At 45.7% G+C, this 21,360-nt stretch overlaps 1 protein-coding gene across 2 annotated transcripts, besides 5 other annotated features; it reads left to right on the top strand.

Annotated features, from left to right (window-relative positions):
• Positions 5,567 to 6,094: a transcriptional cis regulatory region, noted in NCBI's record as "candidate enhancer chr11.2897 targeted for multiplex CRISPR interference". NCBI's record gives its function as "positively regulates PLAAT3 gene expression in K562 cells {active_cell/tissue: K562}" and the evidence as "EXISTENCE:mutant phenotype evidence [ECO:0000015][PMID:30612741]".
• Positions 5,625 to 5,714: an enhancer, noted in NCBI's record as "active region_4873". NCBI's record gives its function as "activates an Ori minimal core promoter by ATAC-STARR-seq in GM12878 lymphoblastoid cells {active_cell/tissue: GM12878}" and the evidence as "EXISTENCE:reporter gene assay evidence [ECO:0000049][PMID:35858748]".
• Positions 5,725 to 5,774: an enhancer, noted in NCBI's record as "active region_4872". NCBI's record gives its function as "activates an Ori minimal core promoter by ATAC-STARR-seq in GM12878 lymphoblastoid cells {active_cell/tissue: GM12878}" and the evidence as "EXISTENCE:reporter gene assay evidence [ECO:0000049][PMID:35858748]".
• On the top strand, positions 8,209 to 20,509 carry PLAAT2 (phospholipase A and acyltransferase 2). Of its 2 annotated transcripts, XM_011545120.3 has the most exons (5): positions 8,209 to 8,497; positions 8,607 to 8,835; positions 13,086 to 13,194; positions 14,619 to 14,887; positions 20,214 to 20,509. In XM_011545120.3, the coding sequence occupies exons 2-5, from the start codon at positions 8,728 to 8,730 to the stop codon at positions 20,313 to 20,315; spliced, it is 588 nt and encodes a 195-aa protein (XP_011543422.1). In that variant the 5' UTR covers positions 8,209 to 8,497; positions 8,607 to 8,727; the 3' UTR covers positions 20,316 to 20,509. The 2 variants fall into 2 exon arrangements, with proteins under 2 accessions (XP_011543422.1, NP_060348.1); NM_017878.2 differs by lacking the exons at positions 8,209 to 8,497; positions 8,607 to 8,835 and adding an exon at positions 9,900 to 9,963.
• Positions 8,864 to 8,943: a silencer, noted in NCBI's record as "silent region_3435". NCBI's record gives its function as "represses an Ori minimal core promoter by ATAC-STARR-seq in GM12878 lymphoblastoid cells {active_cell/tissue: GM12878}" and the evidence as "EXISTENCE:reporter gene assay evidence [ECO:0000049][PMID:35858748]".
• Positions 19,185 to 19,304: an enhancer, noted in NCBI's record as "active region_4871". NCBI's record gives its function as "activates an Ori minimal core promoter by ATAC-STARR-seq in GM12878 lymphoblastoid cells {active_cell/tissue: GM12878}" and the evidence as "EXISTENCE:reporter gene assay evidence [ECO:0000049][PMID:35858748]".
• Positions 20,510 to 21,360: the final 851 nt, after the last annotated feature.

The following is a 21,360-nucleotide window of genomic DNA, read 5'->3' as shown; positions in this document are numbered from 1 at the left end:
TAATCCTAAGTGGACTAAATTTGCAAAGTAAAAGGCAAACATTACACTGGATTAAAAAACAAATCCAGGGAATACAGTTTACAGCTGATACATTCAAAATATAAAAACAGATAAAATATAAATAAAATCGGTACAGTGGTGTCTGCCTGTAATCCCAGCTAGTTGGGAGGCTGAGGCAGGAAGACCCCTTGAGTCTAGGAGTTAGAGAACAGCTTGGGCAACAAAGCGAGACTGTCTCTAAAAAAATACACACACACACACACACACACACACACACACACACACACACACACACACACACACACACACACACACACACAAAGACTGAAATGGAAATGAGCCGAGATCGCGCCACTGCACTCCAGCCTGGGCAACAGAGTGAGACTCTGTCTCAAAAAAAAAAAAAAAAAAAAAAAAGAAAAAGAAAATATAGGCTTTAAAGCAAGTTATTACTAGACAGAGGACAAAAAAATTCTGATAAAAGTTTTAATTCACTAGAAATATATAACTTGCTTGCATTTAATAAGTCTCAAAATAATGAAATTTTTGACTGATTGCAAAGAGGAATTCATCATCTGCTGTTTATAACAGAATACCTGAAAGTGGGTAATTAATGAGAGATGATTTGACTTCTTATAGATCTGGAGGCTGAGAAGTCCAAGGTTAAGGGGGTGCATCCGGTGAGGGCCTTCTTGCTGGTGGGGACTCTCTACAGAGTCTGGAGGCAGCACAGGGCATCCCATAGTGAGGAGGCTGAGTGTGTTAGCTCAGTTCTCTCTTCCTCTTTTTATAAAACCACCAGTCCCATTCCTGTGATAAACCACTAATTCATTAACTCATTAATCCATGAATGGGTTAATCCATTCATGACGGTGGAGCCTTTATGATCCAATCACCAATTAAAGGCTCTTTATTTTTTCTTTCTTCTTTTTCTTTCTTCTTTTTCTTTCCCTCCTTCCTTTCTTTCCTTCCTTCCTTTTCTTTTCTTTCTTTCCTTCCTGTCTTTCTTTTCTTCTTTTTCTTCTTTCTCTTTTCCTTCCTTCCTCCCTCCCTCTCTTTCTCTCTTTCTTTCTTCCTCTTTCTCTGTTCTTTCTCTCTTTTCCTTCCTTCCTTCCCTTCCTTCCTCTCTTTCTTTCTTCCTTTCTTTCTCTCTTTCTTTCGTTTCTTCCTTTCTTTCTCTCTTTCTCTCTTCCTTCCTTCCTTCCCCTCCCTCCTTCTCTCCCTCCCTCCTTCCTTCCTTCCTCTCTCTGTCTTTCTTCTATCTTTCTTTCTCTCTTTCTCTTTCTTCCTTCCCCTCCCTCCCTCCCTTCCTCCTCCTTTCTTTCTTTTTCTTTCTTTCTTTTCCTTTCTTTGTTTCTTCCTTCCTTTCTTTCTCTTTCTTTCTTTCTTTCTTTTCCTTTCTTTGTTTCTTCCTTTCTTTCTCTCTTTCTTTCTTTTGCTCTCTCTTTCTTTCTTTTCTTTTCCCCTCCCCTCTCCTCTTTTCTTCTCTCCTCTCCTCTCCTTCCTTTCCTTTCTTCCTTTTTTTTTTGAGATAGAGTCTCACTCTGTCACCCCGGCTGGAGTGTAGTGGTGGGATCTCGGCTTACTGCAACCTCTGCCTCCTGGGTTCAAGCAATTCTCCTGCCTCAGCCTCCTGAGTAGCTGGGATTATGGGTGTGTGCCACCATGCTTGGCTAATTTTTCTATTTTTAGTAGAGATGGGGTTTCACCAAGTTGGCCAGGCTAATCTTGAACTCTTGACCTCAGGTGATCTGCCTGCCTCGGCCTCCCAAAGTGTTGGGATTACAGGCATGAGCCGCCACACCCTGCCAAAAGACCCATCTTTCAATACTGCCACATTTGGGATTAAGTTTCAACATGAAGTTTGGAGAGGACAAACATCATCATAGTGGGAGATCTAAATACACCTTTCTAAGGAACTGATGAATGAAGGAAACATAGAAGTCTATAAAGACATAGAAAATTTACCAACAAGCTTACTTAATGACCATATATAATATAATTGTGAAATACAGATTCTTTTCAACTGCACACATGGAATATTTATGAGAGTCTTAAAGCAAGCCAACAAATTTTAGATTAGTAACGTAGAAATAATCTTCTTTAACCGTAAAGCAATTAATTCAGGAATCAATAGCGAGAGATAACCAGAAAAACCCTATACTTTCAGGAATTTTAGAATATACTGCTAGATACATTATGAGTCAAAAAAAGAAAACTAATGGGAGTTAGATAATATTTAGAGCTGAATGATAACAAAAATACTAGATACCAATATTTGGACCATGCAGCTAAAGGGGTGCTTAGAAAAAATTTTGTAGCATAAATCCTTACATTAAGAAAGGAAAAGGTGACTTGGCATGGTGGCTTATGCCTGTAATCCCAGCACTTTGCAAGGCTGAGGTGGGAGGATCGCTTGAGGCTAGGAATTCAATACTAGCCTGGAGAAAAGAAAAGAAAAAGAGAAAGAAAGCAAAAGAAGAAGAGAAAAAGAAAGAAAGGAAGGAGAGGTGCAAGTTAAGGAGTTAATTATCCAATTTAAGAAGACAGAAAAAGGGGAAGACAATACAAAGATATGAGCAAAAATAAATGAAGAAAAACAAGCATATAAAAGAGAGAAGGCACAGCAAATGATTTAGGAGTAAAAAAGAGACCACAACTATAGATGCTGCAGAGATTAAACCAGCAAAAACAAATATTGATAAATAATTATAAAAAATTGGAAAATTTTGATGGAATTGATATATTCCAAGAAAAATGTCATCAAAATTGAACCAAGAAAATATTTAAAAATCTAAGCAGTCCTTTGCTCATTAAAGGATAAATCAGTAGTTAACACTTTTTCTACAAAGAAATGGTGTGCCTGGATGGTCGTGTAGGTGAGTTTTACCAAGGATTATGGTAACAAATGAGTGAGACCTCTATGGAGAAAATATTGAAGGACATTAAAGAAGACCTCATAAATGGAGAGAGATATATCATTAATGGATAGGAAGCCTCAATGGCATAAGTATGTCAGTTTCTTTCAAAACTCACCTATGGATTCAATGTGATTCCAAACCAAATCCCAACAAGGTCTTTCCTGGAATTGGAAGCCAGATTCTGAAATGTATTTGGAAAAGTAAAGAGGCAGGGTTAGCTATTTCATTAACAAAGAAGGAACATCAGGCAGGGAGACTTGTGTTATTATTAAGGCTTATTATAAATTATTATTGTGATCAAGATAGTGTATTTTTGGTGTAGAGATAGTTAAATTGGCCAATGGATTGAGCCAAATTTCCAAAACAGACCCACAAATAAATGAAACTCTAATTTACAACAGAGACAGTACTGCAGATCATGGGGGGAAAGGATGAACTATTGAGGGATTGGCAAACTTTTTTGGTAAGGGCTAGACAGCCTTACGTGGTGTTCACAGTGTCTGTTGTAGTTAGTCACCTCTGCTGTGGTATTGTAAGAGCAGCTATAGACAATACTGTACGTGAACAAATGATCATGGATATGTTCTAATAAAACTTTATGTGCATTGAGATTTAAATTTCATATAATTTTCATGGGTCATGAGTTATTAGCTTTCTTTTTGTTTTTCTCAGCCATTTAAAATGCAGAAACCATTATTAGCTACTGGGCTGTACAAAAACGGGCAAAGGAGACCAGGCATGGTGGTTCACACCTATAATCCCAGCACTTTGGGAGGCAGAGGCAGGAGGATTATTTGAACTGGGCAACATAGTGACACCCAGTGTCTATTACAAACAAAACAAAAACAGATGAAGGCCTGCATTTGCCTGTAGGCTATAGTTTGTTGATCCCTAACTAGTAAATGGTATTCACATATAACCACATGGACTTTGCACTGCACAGAAAAAGTCAGTTTGGGGAGAATTTCAGACTTACATGTGAAGGACAGATGTCAATTTTTATTTTTATTTTATTTTTGAGACAGAGTCTCGCTCTGTTGCCCAGGCTGGAGTGCAGTGGCATGATCTTGGCTCACTGCAACCTCTGCCCCCTGGGTTCAAGCAATTCTTGTGTCTCAGCCTCCTGAGTAGCTGGGATTACAGGCGTGCACCACCACGCCTGGCTAATTTTTGTATTTTTTAGTAGAGATGGGTTTCACCATGTTGGCCAGGCTGGTCTTGAACTCCTGACCTCAGGTGATCCACCCACCTCAGCCTCCCAAAGTGCTGGGATTACAGGTGTGAGCCACCGTGCCTGGCCAAATGTCAATTTTTAGAAGCAAATACAGGAGAACATCTTTATGACCTTACTGTAGTTCATAAGCACAAAAAATAAAGACAAAAAGTAAGGTACAAAGAGATAAATTTCATTACATTAGATAAGAACATCTGTTTATCAAAACATACTATGGAGAGTATTAACAGTAACCTGTTCAGTAATGGTGACACACTGGGAACACCCCTAATATGGTTTGGCGGTGGTCCCCACCCAAAATCTCATCTTGAATTGTAATTCCCACGTGTCAAAGGCAGGACCAGGTGGAGGTAATGGGATCGTGGGGGTGGTTCCCCCATGCTGTTCTAATGATGGTACGTGAATCTTGTGAGATCTTATTTTTATTTATTTATTTATTTATTTTTGAGATGGAGTCTTGCCCTGTCACCAGGCTAGAGTGCAGTGGTGCGATCTTGGCTCACTGCAACCTCCGCCTCCCGGGTTCAAGCGATTCTGATGACTCAGCCTCCTGAGTAGCTGGGACTACAGACTTGCACCACCAAACCCAGCTAATTTTTGTATTTTTAGTAGAGATGGGGTTTCACTATGTGGGTCAGGATGGTCTTGATCTCTTGACCTCGTGATCCGCCTGCCTCGGCCTCCCAAAGTGCTGGGATTACAGGCGTGAGCCACCGCACCCGGCCAATCTGGTGGTTTTATAAGAATCTGGCATTTCCCCTGCTTGCACTCACTCCATCCTGCTGCCCTGTGAAGAAGGTGCCTGCTTCTCCTTTGCCTTCTGTCATGACTGTAAGTTTCCTGAGGCCCCCCAGCAATGTGGAAGTGTGGGTCAATTAAACCTCTTTCCTTTATAAATTACCCAGTCTTGGGTATTTCTTCATAGCAGTGTGAGAATGGACTATATACAACCTCCAGTGATTGTTGACAGGAGTCAGGATAAGTAAACTGTGGCACATTCCCATTTGCCACATGGGAGTACCATGCAAATGAATGAATAGCTATGGCCAATCAACATGGGTATGAAACCTAATATTGAACCAAAAATATTGTTATGGAATGCTTGATGTTTGATTCTACTTTTACAAACTTTAAAAATTATAAACTAAATGTATATTGTTAAGGATTACATTTATATATTATTAAGGGATGTGTTTATAAAAAAATTTAAAAATCAATAGGACAATAGAGACAAAATTCAGGAGAGTGGCTACAACTGCATTAGGAGGAAGAGGAACACAGGGTTAATTTTTTTGGTAATAGCTTCACTGAGGTATAATTTACATACTGTTGACGGTGATTGTGAGACCTCTGTTCTTGTCTTCTTGGTTAAAATAATTTTAACAAGAGACACAACCATAGAGGAACAACAGAAAGCAATGTATTGCAAAAGAGAAAGAACACTCTGAAAGCTGAGTGTAAAAAGAAACAGCTGAAAGTAATTTAGTGCAAAGATAAAACTCTGAAAGATACACTCTGAAAGGTACACTCTGAAAGATAAGTCAGAGTGGGCTGATCAAGAGTGAGTCAGCAAAGACTGGCTCTGAGGGAACTCCCTTTATGAGAGTCTTATGTGATTATTCATAGTGGGTGGGAAGAGGTGTGTTCCTAGTAATCATGTTCTGGGTGGTCCTCTGGGTGCACATGAGCAGTTGCTGTACATGCTTGTTCATACATTGCATGTCTCATTGCCGTCTTAAATCTCTACCCAGGGGTGTGTTTTTTACTATTATAATGAGCAAAGGGTCATTCTGAGGACAAGCAAAGTGAAAATGCACATGCTCTCTACAGGGGAAAGTCCCCAGTGAAGGTAGTTCTGCTTGGATGAGCTTGATTACAATGTGAGTGCTGAGGTTTGTTGTGTTGTTGGTGCGGTTGCTATGTCCCAATGAACATGGTTACAGGGCTCATTGTGCTGTTGACAGTGTGGTTGCCATGTCCCAAGGACGTGGTCATCTCCTTGACTATCTATCCTGCCTCAGTACCATATAGTTCACTTACTAAAGTATATAATTCGATGCCCTTTAGCATGTTCACAGTCATGAAACTATTACCACAATCAACTTTAAAACCTTCTCATCACCTAAAAAGAAACACAACCTGAATCCCCTAGCCCTTCCATCCCTAAATAATCATTACAATCATGAATTTGCTTTATGTCTCTGTGTGTTTTCCCATTCTTGACAGTTCAAATAAATGGAATCATATACTATATGGCTTTTGTGACCAGCTTCTTTCACTTATCATGTTTTCAAGCTTCCTCTATATTTTAGCATGTATCAGTACTTCCTTTTTATGGCTGAATAATATCACATCATACGAATATACCACATTTCGTCATTTATTCGTCAGTTGATGAACACTTGGGTGTCACCTTTTGGCAATTATGAATAATGCTGAGTATTAGTCAGGGTTCTTCAGAGAAACAGAACCAATGGGAGGTTATCTATCCATCAAGATTTCTTTTTTTTTTTTTTTTGAGATGGAGTCTCGCTCTGTCACCTCTGCTGGAGTGCAGTGGCGCCATCTTGGCTCACTTCAAGCCCCGCCTCCCGGGTTCATGCAGTTCTCCTGCCTCAGCTTCCGGAGTAGGTGGGACTACAGGTGCCCACCACCACGCCCAGCTAATTGTTTTTTTTTGTATTTTTTAGTAGAGACGGGGTTTCACCGAGTTAGCCAGGATGGTCTCAATCTCCTGACCTCGTGATCCGCCCGCCTCGGCCTCCCAAAGTGCTGGGATTACAGGCGTGAGCCACCATGCCCGGCCCCATCAAGATTTCTTACAAAAAATTAGCTGCTGCAGCAATCACAGAGGCTGAGAAGTCCCACCATCTGCTGTTTGCAGGCTAGAGACCCTGGAGACTCAGGAAAGGCAGTGGTATCATTCCGTCTGCGTCAAAAGACCTGGGAATCCAGGGAGCCGATAGAGTAAATCCCAGTATGAGGGCAGAAGATGAGGTGAGCTATCTCAACACAAGTAGTGAGGCAGACGAAAAGGGGACGAATTTCTCATTCCTCTAGCTTTGTTCTAATCAAGCCCTCAACAGATTGATGCTCCCCACTCACATAAGGGAGGGTCATCTGCTTCACCCATTCCACCAATTCAAATGCTGATCTCATCTGGAAGCACCTCAACAGACATGCCCAGACATCACACAGCATCTGGGCACCCCATGGCCCTGTCGGATTGACACAACAAATTAACCACCACGGCTGCTATGAACATCTGTGGACAGGTTTTTGTGGGACACAGGGCTTATTTAAGAAATTGGTTATTTTCTATTTCTTCAACTAGGTTTATTGGTACCTGTTTTGTTATTATTTCTAGTGTTTTATACTTATGTTGCAATTATTCTTCTATATGGATATAAGATTTAATAAAATCCTTTATTTATTTATTTATTTATTTCTGAGACATAGTCTCACTCTGTAACCCAGGCTGGAGGGCAGTGGCGTGATCTTGGCTCACTGCAACCTCTGCATCCCAGGTTCAATAGATTCTCCTGCCTCAGCTTCCCGAGCAGCTGGACTACAGGCGTGCGCCACCAAGCCCAGCTAATTTTTGTATTTTTAGTAGAGACGGGGTTTTGCCATGTTGGCTAGGCTGGTCTCGAACTTCTGACCCAAGTGATTCACCCACCTTGGCCTCCAAAAGTGCTGGGATTACAGGCATCAGCCACTGTGCCCGGCCAAAGCCCATTAAAATTATATGTAGCCCAAGATATTCCTGGCATGTACATAGAAAGATAACATTGCCTCTAGAAAGGGGAACTGGGTTGCTGGAGGCTGGAGGCTGGAGGTGGGGAGAATGGAGGCTTATCTTTCCTTTTATAGCCTTTTATACAATTAAACAAACATAGAGAGCGTGCATGTGAACAAAAATGTAAGTATTCCAGGCTGTAGGCCTAGAGCTTACCAGCAGGCTGGGTGTGGCCTGCCCTACCCTGTTCTCTGTCAGTAGAACTTTGTCACCTTTCCTGCTCAGCATGAACAGTAGGGAGACAGCAGAATTCTCATTCCACTGGCCCTTGATTTGCAGACTCTCCTTTCCTATAGCTCCTGGACATAATTTCCTGACACTCTGAACAGCTTGGATTCGGTGAAAAGCCACAAGCCCCAGCATGAGTACAGTGATGTTCCTCCCCAACTCCGCCCTGCATGGTCTGGTTGGTCATTGTGCCAACCCACCTGAGATCCTTTCAGCAGACAGCACGTGGAAGTCCTCCTGCCCCAGGAAACAGGGGTGTGATGTGGTTGCAAGGGGAGGGCAGGCATAGGAAGAACTGAGATTGCTGGACTGGAGGTCAGCCCCTAAAAAGATGATCAGCAAGCCTGAGTGGGACCGGCCCAGAGGTCTCTGGACAATGGGGCAGGAGATAATTAGCCAAGCCAACCCTACTGTCTCCCTCCAGAAGGAATACTTTGAAGATTGTCCCACTGCAACTCAGAGGAGAATGGAGTGGAGGTGCTGAGAGAGGCCGTCTCCATGGGAGCAAGACCACATGACCACGTGAGCTGAGGGAGTAGCTGGTCATGCAGAACTGCTGTGGCTCCCAAAGAGTTTTCCAGTTCTGGCTCCAGTCCATCTGCATCCCCACACTAAAGCTCTTTGTTTGTTTGTTTGTTTATAGCCTGAAGAGGGTAAGTTATTGGTCCTCGCCCCCATGCCCCACAGTGAGGATGCTCAGCTCCCCCCAGCCCCACCCACCCCTTCCTGTCCAGTTTGCTCAGGACCGGACAACTATATGTAGATGACAGAAGAGATACTTATTTGGAGCTTGGGTGAGATAAGCATGCAGGTGCCTCAAAGAAGCAACCTCTACACACCCAGTACTGGGTTTTGGTTTCCATTTGGTGTGGAATGAGTGTTTCTGAACTGTGGGTGAGAGGCAGAAAGGGGAGTGGTTTCTATACTGCTGTCCAAGCAGGCTCACTCTGTTTCCAGGGTAGAGGAATGTGCCTCCAATAATACGATTTTTCTAGGGCCATGGGGTTTGAGGTTGGTGGAAATGTTTGCCTGTCCCGGCAACCATCATTCCCAATTTGGAGGCATGAATCTCAGTCTCTCTGGGGCTCCTCTCTCCTTTTTGAAATTTTCCCCCATGGTCTCTGTCTCTATATCCTCCCTTGCCCCCACAACCACTGGATCTTGCTTGTTCCACCTGAAACTTGGTGATTGTCAGCTGTGCCCCTGACCACACTGCCACTAAGTCCTTCTCAATCTATATCCTGAGCTCTGATTCCTCTTCTGTCTGGCTGATTTTCATGCCGCCTTGCCTACTTGATATGTGCTCTGCCCCTGTTTGAAGACAGGGAAAATTTTACATGAACCTTGATCTATGTTCTGTTTTTTTTTTTTTTTTTTTTTTGACTGAGTCTCGCCCTGCCGCCCAGGCTAGAGTGCAGTGGCACGACCTCTGCTCGCTGCAAGGTCTGCCTACTGGGTTGACGCCATTTCCTGCCTCGGCCTCTGGAGTAGCTGGGACTACAGGTGCCCACCACCATGCCCAGCTAATTTTTTCTATTTTTTAGGAGAGACGGGGTTTCACCGTGTTAGTCAGGATGGTCTCGATCTCCTGACCTTGTGATCCTCCCGCCTCAGCCTCTCAAAGTGCTGGGATTACAGGTGTGAGCCACCGCACCCAGCCTATGTTCTGAAATAGTTGTATATGGGCTGGGTCACAGGGAAAGTGAAACTCAGAGCTAATTTAAGGCTGGACACAGAGTCAGCAACACACAAGACATCATCTTGAAGGAAGGATGGCTTTGGTAAGTCCCCAGAAACGGTTTTAAAGCTTTGATTTGAGGAACAACCACCCTATTAGTGATGATTATGTGTATTCTTGTTGGTCTACAGCTCTGGCATGGAGGGCACATGGGCACATGCTGAGTTCTGGGGGTCTGGCTCTCTCAGACACTGTGGGAAGGAACCACGGTGCTGGGTTATGACCCTGGAGGCTCCCCAGCCTCAGCTGCCGCATGGGGTCTGGTTCTACTGTGGCCAAAGTTTGCGTTTATGCTTTTCCAAGCCCTCCTCTGGCCAAACTACCAGTGGCTCTGCTAAGCCTCCTGAAGGCAGGAATGGTGGGCTCAGGGAGAGCAGCCCTTGGTTTACCCCACAGGCCGCCTCCTCTGTCACATCATCCTCAGTGGGAGGGATTAGCTGGGGAGGGAGGGTCCAGGGAAAGGGCTCCAGCTGTGTGGGTGGCAATGGGGGCTGTCAGAAAGGGCTCTGTCTCCCTCGCCTCCAGGCAGGGCCAGTCCCTCTACTTTCCCTCCTTCCCTCCAATTCCTTCTTAGTTTCCTTCTTCCTTTAGACCCAATAGCAGCCACATTTCCCAAGTGCTCAGGGGTCCAGACACCATGCTAAACACTTCTTTTATTTAATCCACACCAGGTAGTTAATAAGCAATCCTATGAAGTAGGCATAATTACTGCCAACTTCATGGATAGGAGGAATGATATACTGGTAAGTATAGAGAGGGGGCTGCCCAAAAGTCAGAGAGGGAATTCGAACTTAGGAGGCTCTGACTCTAAAGCTTCGACTTAAAAAAGAAAGAATGTATTTAATTCCAGGAGAAATACGTGAACACATTCACTTTGTCTGAAAAACCGAAACTCTAGCCTGGGCAACATAGTGAGATCCCATCCCTACAAAAAATATTAAAATTAGCCAAGGATAATGGTATGTGCTTATAGTCCTAGCTTCTTGGGAGGCTGAGGTGGGAGGATCACTTGAGCTGGGGAGGCTGAGGCTTCCTGCAGTGAGCTGTGATAGTGCCACTGCACTCCAGCCTGGGTGACAAAATGAGATCATGTCTCAAAAAAAGCCAAAAGCCAAAAACCAAAACTATTAGCATAAAAACTAATGTCCCCTTTGACCATCCTTCCCATCTGTACAGCCTTTCCCCTCTGTACAACCTGGTGCGTATTCTTCCAAATATTTTTCTGTTTTTGCATACATATATGGCTACCTTACAAGTATTGGTTTGTAGCTTTGGGGTTTGTTGTAGTTTTAAATTGCATTCCGTGAGGACAATTCAGTTAGGAAATGCTTGAATCTTTTCCTTTATTTACCAGCTTTTGGAATAATAGGGTGATTCTTTTCCATCCTCCAAAGATGCCTAGTGTTTTTAAAAAATATCCTTATGAACACGTGGGTTTTAACATATTTGATGTGTTTCAGTTTGTGTACAGTTATTTTTATTATTTTTTTTTGATGCTCAAATTGTCCCTTATTTGGTCAAGTTGACTCTTGACCCCTCTAGTCAAAGGCTTTACTTTTTTTTAAATTTCGAGGTTCTGGGGGGGAACATGTGGTATTTGGTTACATAAATTAGTTTTTAGTGGTGATGTCTGAGATTTTGGTGTACCTATCATCTCAGCAGTGTACTCGGTACCCAATGCGTAGTCTTTTTTTTTTTTTTTTTTTTTTTTTTTGTGATGGAGTCTCACTCTATCGCCCAGGCTGGAGTGCAGTGGCACGATCTCTGCTCACTGCAACCCCTGCCTCCCGGGTTCAAGCAATTCTCATGCCTCAGCCTCCCAAGTGGGTGGGATTACAGGCACCTGCCACTATACCCAGCTAATTTTAGTATTTTTAGTAGAGATGGGGGTTTCACCATGTTGGCCAGGCTGGTCTCAAACTTCTGACCTCAGGCAATCCACCCATCTCGGCCTCCTGAAATGCTGGGATTATAGGCGTGAGCCACCACACCCAGCCCCAGTGTGTAGTCGTTTATTCCTCACCCACTCCCACCCTTTTCCCTCAGTCTTCAGAGTCCGTTGTATGATTCTTATGCCTTTGCGTCCTCATAGCTTAGCTCCCACTTACGAGTGAGAACATAGGATGTTTGATTTTCCATTACTGAGTTATTTCACTTAGAATAATGATCTCCAATTCCATCCAAATTACTTCAAATGAAAGGCTTTACTTTTAACTATAGCTCCCCACCAGACTTTGAGTTGGCTGGCACTCTCACCACCCTCGGCAGCAGTTCAACTCCTTTGTGGCTTGGCTCAGCTGAGATAGGGGGAGGAGGGGTGCTGGCTGGCACCAGAGCATACCGGAAACAGAATTTATGTGGCAAGGGCTGTCTCCCATTCTGGGTGTGGCCAGGGCAACATTCCTCGCACCCATGCACCCTCCAGAGGGGCACTGCCCTACCACCAACTCCAAACACACCCTGCCATCCCTTGCTTTAATTTTAGCCTGAGCTCAGACTTCAGCTGCCCTGGGCTTGCCTAGGACATTCTGGGATGGTTAAAGGCATTAATGTTGGAAACATTCAGCCCTACCCTTCATTCCTGCTCTTCTACTTATTAGGCAAGTTACCTAACGTTCCTGAGACTCCATGTGCTCATTGTCAAGTGGGGGTAATGATAGTTTTCACCCAAAGGAGTGGTGTGTAATGTGGGTCAAGTGTCCGCCTGCCTCTGACATGTTGGGCGTTGCAAGTCAGACCTCTAGAACTTGTAGGAATCACTTGGGCCCAGGCTCATGGCAGGTGGCCCTTAAAGAGGCATTTTAGGCTTCCTTCGGAATCATGCAGTCACTAGCTGACAAAAACATACTCTGTGCATAAAATGCACTCACACTCAGCCTGGGCACATCACTCCATCACACTCCTGTGCTGCACATGCATGAAAATCTCCCTCAAAGATACTCTCTTCATCTCCTCCTTGTCCCCTGAAGAGCAACTTTTCAGTCCTGCAGCCCCAGTAAATGAAGGTGCTTCCTACATATGTGAGGAGTGCTCCCTCCTTCCTGTTTCCTGCAGGTGATGAGCACAGGGAATCTGCAGGCTGAGCTGGGGCTCCTTGCAGGTCAGGCCCTAGAATGTTTCCTGCAGATGGCTCACCTCTGCCTGTTTCTGGTTTTTCTGTTGCAGGCCAGACCAAGACCGAGACTTGGAGACCTGATTGAGATTTCTCGCTTTGGCTATGCACACTGGGCCATCTACGTGGGAGATGGCTATGTGGTCCATCTGGCTCCGGCAAGTAAGGATGGGTTCTCTTTTTAAGCACAAGGGTTAAGATCAAGAATGTGAAGAGATGCACAGTTACGTGCTTGTCCTCACTTCAGGGTCTAGCAGAGTAGGCACTCAATACATAATGCTGAATGAATTGTGCTTTTTCCTGCTAGATGTAGCAACTGCTATTCTTCTTTTGCAGTAAATTGGTGGAGAGACTATTGACCTTTATTCCATTATAGAGTGGGGTTCAGTCTGAACCAACTCACTGTACTTGGTGAGCATCCCTCCGTGGGATCTCCTATGTATTTGTTGTTATGGAGGTACAAGCAAGAGTAAGAAGCAGTTGCTTCCTTCAGATAGCGTACAACTGAGCACATAGTATAACGGAAGGAGCATGTGGGCCTCCCAACTCAACAGAACCAGTTTGGAATTGTGGCTCCTCTGCTTACAGACTGTGTGCCTTGAGCATGCGGCTTCACATCACTAAGTTCAGCTTCCCAGGAGTCTGGGGTCCCCTTTAGAGGCCAATTGGAGAATTTAAAGCTGGAGGGCATGGACATCCCCTGGCCTAGTTCCTCTAATTTGAAAATGATGAAACCAGGGTCCCAAGATGAGAAGGGCTTTTTCTGAAGACACACAGTAAGAGAGCCACGGCCAGGACCTGGGGACCCTGGATTCCTGGGACAGGCTTCTGTCTTGTTCAGCTGTTTCCTTTCCTACTGTTTCAAAATGCCACCCTCACCTACTGGAGCTCCCACAGCACTGGCTCAGGGCAATGGGTGACATTTTCTTTTCTTTACCTTTTTGGAGACAAGGTGTCACTCTGCTGCCCAGGCTGGAGCATAGTGGCACAATCACAGCTCACTGCAGCCTGTAATTTCGGCGCTAAAGCAATCCTCCAGCCTCGCCCCCGGAGTAGCTAGAATTACAGGTATGTGCTGCCATGCCCAGCTACTTTTTTAATTTTTATTTTTAGAGACAGGAGTTTTAGCATATTGTGCAAGCTGGTCTCCAACTCCTGGCCTCAAGTGTTCCTCCTGCCTTGGCCTTCCAAAGTGCTGAGATTACAGGCACCTGGCCTGGAGTGACTTTTTCTAAGCCACAAGCTAGTGAGCGGCAGTTGGGACTATGGCCTGGGGCTCTTCTGCCTCCTCTCTTTGCCCTGTACCACACTGCCTTGACTGTTGACTCTTTCAGGTATATCTGAACTCACATGGTCCTTTAGAGCTCAGGTTGTTTACTTTAGAAATGAGGAAACCAGAACTTAGGGACCTTCTCCAAAGTCACCCAGGCTTGGGTCTTCCCTGTTTTCAAGTTTGAGGCCAGGCAGGATGGACAAGTCCTTCCACAGCTGCTCCTCCTTGATGGTGCTCGGGGCGATGAGGCTGCTTGGCTTCCAGCTCTGAGCCCCCCAGGCCCTGCCCAGGACTGAACTCACTGTTTGCACAGGTGAAATTGCTGGAGCTGGTGCGGCCAGTGTCCTGTCTGCCCTGACCAACAAAGCCATAGTGAAGAAGGAACTGCTGTCTGTGGTGGCTGGGGGAGACAACTACAGGGTCAATAACAAGCACGATGACAGATACACACCACTGCCTTCCAACAAAATCGTCAAGCGGGCAGAGGAGTTGGTGGGGCAGGAGTTGCCTTATTCGCTGACCAGTGACAACTGCGAGCACTTCGTGAACCATCTGCGCTATGGCGTCTCCCGCAGTGACCAGGTGCATCTTCAGCCTGCATCCCCTTCCCAGGAGCCAGGCCACTCCCTCAGCTGCCAGAGGCTGGGTCCCTGCTGGGGCCAGGGTGGGATGGAAATAGACATGAGCAAGACAAAATAGCAGATATGAAACTGTTGTCCTTGAGGGTGTCACATTTGGGGTGGGGACAAGGGTGGGGAGATAGGCAAGTCGGCAATGTAGACCAGTGCAGTGGGTTGGGGGGTGGCCACAGAAGGGAGTCACAGCCTGAAACAGCCCTCCACAGCCCTAGAGGCCGGCTTTATGATTCCCACTTTACAGATGGGGAAACTGAGGCTCACCGTGCTTAAGTAACTTGTCCAAATTCATTAAACTCCTAGTTATTGAGTCTCTAGTCCATGTCAGCCATGGTGAAGAGCGGGGGAGTTAAACCTACATGTGTTCTCTCCAAGGGCCCCGATCAAGGAAGGCTTTGTAGAAGAGGTCACACCCGAGCCCAGCCTGATTTAATTATTTTGATTAATCTGAAAGAAAATGAGCTGGAGATTACCAGGGAACGGGGGCAATAAGGAGTGTAGGCAGAGGGAACAGCGTGAGCCAGGAAGGGGAAAAGCCCAGATCATGTTGGGCAATTGTTTTCTGTAAAGGGCCAGATAGTAAATGTCTTCGATTTTATGGGCCAGGTGTTCTCTGTCTTATTACCCTGCTGCCGTAGTTTGCAGCACAAAAGCAGCCACAGACAATATATAAATGAACAGGCGAGACTGTCTTCCAATAAGTGTATTATTTATTTTTTACAAAAATAGTTCACAGGTTGGATTTGACCCATGGGCCATAGTTGGCCAACTTTTGGATACAGGGTCTCACAAACTTTTTTTTTTTTGATACAGAGTCTCACTCTGTCACCCAGACTGCAGTATATCATGTGGAGTTCGATCATGGCTCACTGCAGCCTCGACCTCCTGGGCTCAAGCAATCCTCCCACCTCAGTCTCCTGAGTGGCTGGGACTACAGGAATGTGCCACTATGCCTGGCTAATTTTTGGATTTTTCTGTAGAGATGAGGTTTTGCCATGTTGTCCAGGCTGGTCTTGAACTCCTGGGCTCAAGCAATCCCCTTGACTCGGCCTCCCTTGGGATTACAGGTGTGAGCCACCACACTCAGTCCAAGATAACTTAAAAAACCACATATCCCCTCATACATTCTTAGATGACATCAAACACTTTAAAAAATCATAAATGTAAAAAATTTGTAAAGGAAAGGATGGATTTTGGTATATTGCATATTACATATTTGTGTACATGTTTTCTTCACAATCTTGGAGTTGCACATTTAGCTCATTCAGTTAGGGAAAAATGTCTTCCGTGTAGTTTAAATAGCCGAGCCAGGTGTTATTGTCAAACCAATCAGCCTAATCAGGCTTATTTTGACGTTCAGAAAAAAACTGACAATTTTTCAATTCAAATGAGTGTGTTAATGCACAGTTTCATGATAACCATCTCACTTTAGAATTCTCATTCTAAAGCAGCAGACAGATGAGGCAGGAGCCTCGACGTGGTTGCATATTCCTTTCTGAAGCCCTCTTTGTTTAGGAGCAATGCATTCTTGAATCCTCCCTTACTGGTGACTAGGAGTGTTTACACCTTAGCCTGTGCACCGTAGATTCAGGGTGTGGGAGGATTTAGCTGTTCTGTTGTATGATAGGAGAAGGAGAGGTGATAAAAAGGGGAGATGGGTAAGGAAAATCCACAACTTCTGGAAACAAGTACCCCAGGAGGGAGACCACGCTATTAACTGAGAGACTGCCAGGCCATGCTGGGCACTGGGGCACGGTGGGACATGCTCTGGTACTCAGTGGGAACCCTGCTGACAGGGTCTCCCCTCTGTTGAGCTGAGGAGGGTAGACCTATCTCTGAATGGGAGGGGTGTCGGAAGGGGATTGGGGGTGGGCTGCCTTATCATACATCTAAAAGCTCTTCTATAGGCTGTGCAGAAGCCACAAAATCAATCTGGAAGACCCCAATTTTAGGAAGTGGTTGGCCCTCTGCTATGCTTCTGAGGGGTCAGAACTCAAGCCAATGGGGAAGACTCAGGGGAGGCAGTTTTATTTAGTTTGTCCCTTGTCCTGGAGCCTCTCTTGTTGAACTTCATCTCCTGCAGGTCACCCAATAACTTGCCTTTCTTTCTTCCTCTCCCTCCTTCCTTCTCATCTGACTCTGTCTGTCTGGAAAGACTCTCCTCTGTCTGTCTCTAGCTCTTGCTCTGTAAGAAAGTGGACTTGTGAAAGCTGCAGGACTCTTGGCACACAACAACGCCATCCAGCCCCTGCTCTAATAGATGACCAAGCTCTAGCACTGCTTCTGGCAAAATAAGGCTGTGTCCGTAGGATGACCCTAGCCCCCCGATAAATGCCTGCCTAAGAAAGCTCTCTGCTGCCAGGAGAATTTACCATTTGTTCTAACGAACACCTGACAAAGACCCTGACCCTTTCTTAGACTGTTTATTACAAAGGACTTATAATTATGAATCCTTCCTCTGTCCCTTTGAAACATAGATACAGTCATCTCTTGGTATCCATGGGTGGGGAAGGGATTGATTCCAGGACCCCCTGAGGACACCAAAATCCATGGATGCTGAAGTCCCTTGTATAAAATGGTATGATATTTGCATATAACCTGTGCACATCCTCCCATGTACTTATTTTATTTTCGAGACAGCATCTCACTCTGTCACCCAGGCTGGAGTGCAGAGGTGCTTCACTGAAATGTGATCTCACCTCATTGCAGCCTCAACCTTCCTGGGCTCAGGGGATCCTCCCACCTCAGCCTCCTGAGTAGATGGGACTACAGGCACACGCCACCACACCCGGCTAATTTTTGTATTTCTTTTTTGTAGCAATGGGGTTTCACCATATTGCCCAGACTGGTCTCAATCTTCTGGGCTTAAGTGATCCACCTGCCTTGGCCTCCCAAACTGCTAGGATTACAGGCATGAGCCACTCATAATTACTCATAATACTCAATGCAATGTAAGTAGTTATACTGTATTTTAAAAATGTGTATTATTTTTTATTGTTCTTTAAAAAATTTTTTTTCCAAATGTTTTCAATCCACAATTGATTGGATCCATGGATGTGGAATCCATGGATATGGAGGGCTGACTGTATATCCCTTACAACTCTGAAGTGCCTTCCTCAAGGACCTGAGAGCCAGTCCTTTGAAATATAATCATCAGGAAGGATAGAGCCTCTGTCCCCAATATCCGTGGGAGGTTAGAATCCTAACTTTGATAATTGCCAGCTAGCAGACACAGCTGGCCTCATCGCATATTCAGGGACTAATCCTTTGTAATATTTCACCTCCCTGACTCTATGAGCCCTCGCTCACCCGTCTCCCTACTCCTCCATCTCCCTTTACAATGTCAGTCACCTCTGCACAAATTGGAATGGAGCTCAGCTCTTTCCCTGCTGTCAGTAGAGACTGAATCAAATCTGTTTTTGCTGTCTTAAGTTATGTCTGGCTTTGTTTGTCTTTGACACTTGGAAACAATTCTGAGTGTATTTGAATAAAATGGTTTTTTTTCCCCCTTTCTTTTCCCCAGTCACTCACATGCTTCAAATTCATTGATACTCCACAGAAATCTGCTATTTGGTCGCTGGTTTAAATACTTGCTTCCCTGTCTGTGAAGGGCTTAAGTGCCCCTGTTGGGAAGTCAGGCAGATCTGAGCCTTGTCACTTGTCAGCTGTGTGGCTTTGCGTGAGTTCTTTTTTTTTTTTTCTTTTTTTTTTGAGACATAGTCTCACTCTGTCACCAAGGCTGGAGTGCAGTGGCGTGATCTTGGCTCACTGCAACCTCTGCCTCCTGGGTTCAAGCAATTCTCCTGCCTCAGCCTCCCAGGTAGCTGGGATTATAGGCACCCGCCACCATGCCTGGCTAATTTTTTTTAGTGGAGACGGGGGTCTCACCATGTTGGCCAGGCTGGTCTCGAACTCCTGACCTCAAATGATCTGCCCACCTCAGCCTCCCAAAATGCTGGGATTACAGGTGTGAGCCACCGCCCCCCCGGCCTTTGCGTGAGTTCTTTACACTGTCCATCCTCAGTCTTCTCCTCTGGAAAGTAGGAATTAGAATCACTACCTCCTAGAGTTGTCAGGCAGATTAAAAAAAATACTGGGCCTGGAGAGTTCCCAGCACAGTGCTGATATCTAGAAAGCAGCCATTCTCACAGTTTTCACCCCCACCCCCCACCCCGTGTTGTTTCCCCCAGTCGCTCCAGTGCTAGTCTCTCAGAGACAGTGGCCCAGGCAGGGCAGACCCACAGGATCGCAGCAGACTGTCTCGGCTAGCTCCCAAAAGCTGTGCCGAGCACACCAACCCTCGGGGGTCGGCCTCACATCTCTGTGGTTTTTTCAGTTTCTTCTTCCTTTTGCAGAACCATTTCCTGCCAGCACATAAGTGAGACAATCTTACTCATTAAAGCACACCCTCAATGCTCCTCATGGGCCAGCATTTGTTCAGCAGATGAATTATGAGTGCCGACTCTGTGCCTGGCAGTGGGATCAGCACCTGGGACATTGAGACCAATCCAGGCGAGCTCCCTGCCCTCAAGCCTGTGTAGTGAGAGTTCCCAGGGGTGATTTCCCAACTTCATATCTGCCTCAAGGGCCCCAGTCAGCCAGCCCTGACCTAGAACATTGGGGCACTGCCCCTCTGTCCTTGCTGGGGGTTTACTATGCTTTTTGCTTTAATTATTATTGTTATTTTTTAAGACAGGGACTCACTTTGTCACCCAAGCTGGAATGCAGTGGTGCAATCTTGGCTCACTGCAACCTCCGCCTCCTGGGCTCAAGTCATCTTCCTGCCTCAGCCTCCTGAGTAGCTGGGACTACAGGTGTGCACCACCTGGACTCAGCTGTTTTTTTTTTTTTGTATTTTTTTGTAGAGATGGGGGTCTCACCATGTTGCCTAGGCTGGTCTTGAACTCCTGGGCTCAAGCAATCGGCCCATCTCAGCCTCCCAAGGTGTGAGGATTGCAGGTGTGAACCACTGAGCCCGACCTATTATGCTTTTAATACCCACAGGTGCATCTGGTTTTCCTCCTTTGACTCTGTGTATATCACGCCTATGGCTTCATTCTTCCATTCATTCTGTGCCCACCAGACATCTCCACTCCTCTTTCCTGGGTGGCCTGACCTCTTGGCATCCCCTCTCCCAGCCAATATTTGTTCCCTCTGTGATTCAAATGAAGAGGACTGGGCCAGATGAGTCTTTCCTGAGCTGTAGTTTCCTGGTGTATGTATCGTGGTCCCGCCCTGATGCTGAGTGTGCTCTCCCTTCTCTTCTGCTGCAGGTCACTGGTGCAGTCACGACAGTAGGTGTGGCAGCAGGCCTGCTGGCTGCCGCAAGCCTTGTGGGGATCCTGCTGGCCAGAAGCAAGCGGGAAAGGCAATAAATCCAAGAAATTGTCCCAACAACCACCAATTCTTACGGAGGAATATTATTTAGCCAGCAGGAGTGGAGTTTGGTTTACTGATTTTACTGTTTTGTGTTCATGAATCTTTATTTTAATGGAGTTAAAAGCACAGGAAAATGTATTTGGAAATGCAGCTTAGTATGAATTCTATTAAAGACACAATTGGGCTCTGCTATGGACTGAATGCTTGTGTTTCTCTCACACTCCAAATTCATATGTTGAACTCTAACCCACCTGTGGGATGGTATTGGAGGTGGGGTCACTGGGAGGTAATTAGGTTGTGAGGGTAGAGCCTCTAGGATGGATTTAGTGTTCTTATATGAAAAGGAAGAGACTAGACCGGGCACAGTGGCTCATGCCTGTAATCCCAGCACTTTGGGAGGCCAAGGTGGGAGGATCACCTGAGGTCAGGAGTTCGAGACCAGCCTGGCCAACGTGGTGAAACCCCATCTCTACTAAAAATACAAAAATTAGCCAGGCGTGGAGGCAGGTGCCTGTAATCTCAGCTACTCGGGAGGCTGAGGCACGAGAATTGCTTGAACCCGGGAGGCAGAGGTTGCAGTGAGCCAAGATCATGCCATTGTACTCCAGCCTGGGCGGCAGAATGAGACCCTGTTTCAGAAAAAAAAAAAAAAAAAAGAAAAAAAGAAAAGGAAGAGACCAGAGCTGGCACTCTCTCCACCACGTGAGGATCTAGTGAGAAGGTGGCTGTCTGCTAGCCAGGAAGATTCTCCAGGTGCTCTCAGCATAGCTCTCACCCTGACAAGTGGCTGCCCTGAACACTTACTCCCTCCACCGCCCCAGGGAAGCACAGGTCTCCCCCTGGAGGATGCTTCCGGGGTGCATCCGCCATCTTTGGTCCCACCAATTTCTTCACAGGAAGTGAGAGAATGGGGGGCTGAGCAGCTCCTGACCTTTCTGCCCACAGCTTCAAGCTTGCACTGAGTGATGCTGCTCCAAGGCCTGAGCCTGCGAAATCTGCAGTGGGCAGACAGGAGCTGTCCTGGGACATCAAGCAAGGCTG

This window comes from Homo sapiens, chromosome 11, assembly GCF_000001405.40.
Source record: "Homo sapiens chromosome 11, GRCh38.p14 Primary Assembly".
Lineage (NCBI taxonomy): Eukaryota > Metazoa > Chordata > Mammalia > Primates > Hominidae > Homo > Homo sapiens.
This window is presented reverse-complemented; position numbering and strand designations above follow the sequence as displayed.

What these genes read in the sequence shown, in the direction of transcription:
- PLAAT2 (XM_011545120.3), top strand. Translation starts at nt 8,728, where the DNA reads ATGCAGAACTGCTGTGGCTCCCAAAGAGTTTTCCAGTTCTGGCTCCAG. An exon ending in TTGTTTATAGCCTGAAGAGG is followed by an intron (nt 8,836 to 13,085) that starts GTAAGTTATTGG and finishes TTTCTGTTGCAG; the next exon opens with GCCAGACCAAGACCGAGACT. An exon ending in GCGTCTCCCGCAGTGACCAG is followed by an intron (nt 14,888 to 20,213) that starts GTGCATCTTCAG and finishes CTTCTGCTGCAG; the next exon opens with GTCACTGGTGCAGTCACGAC.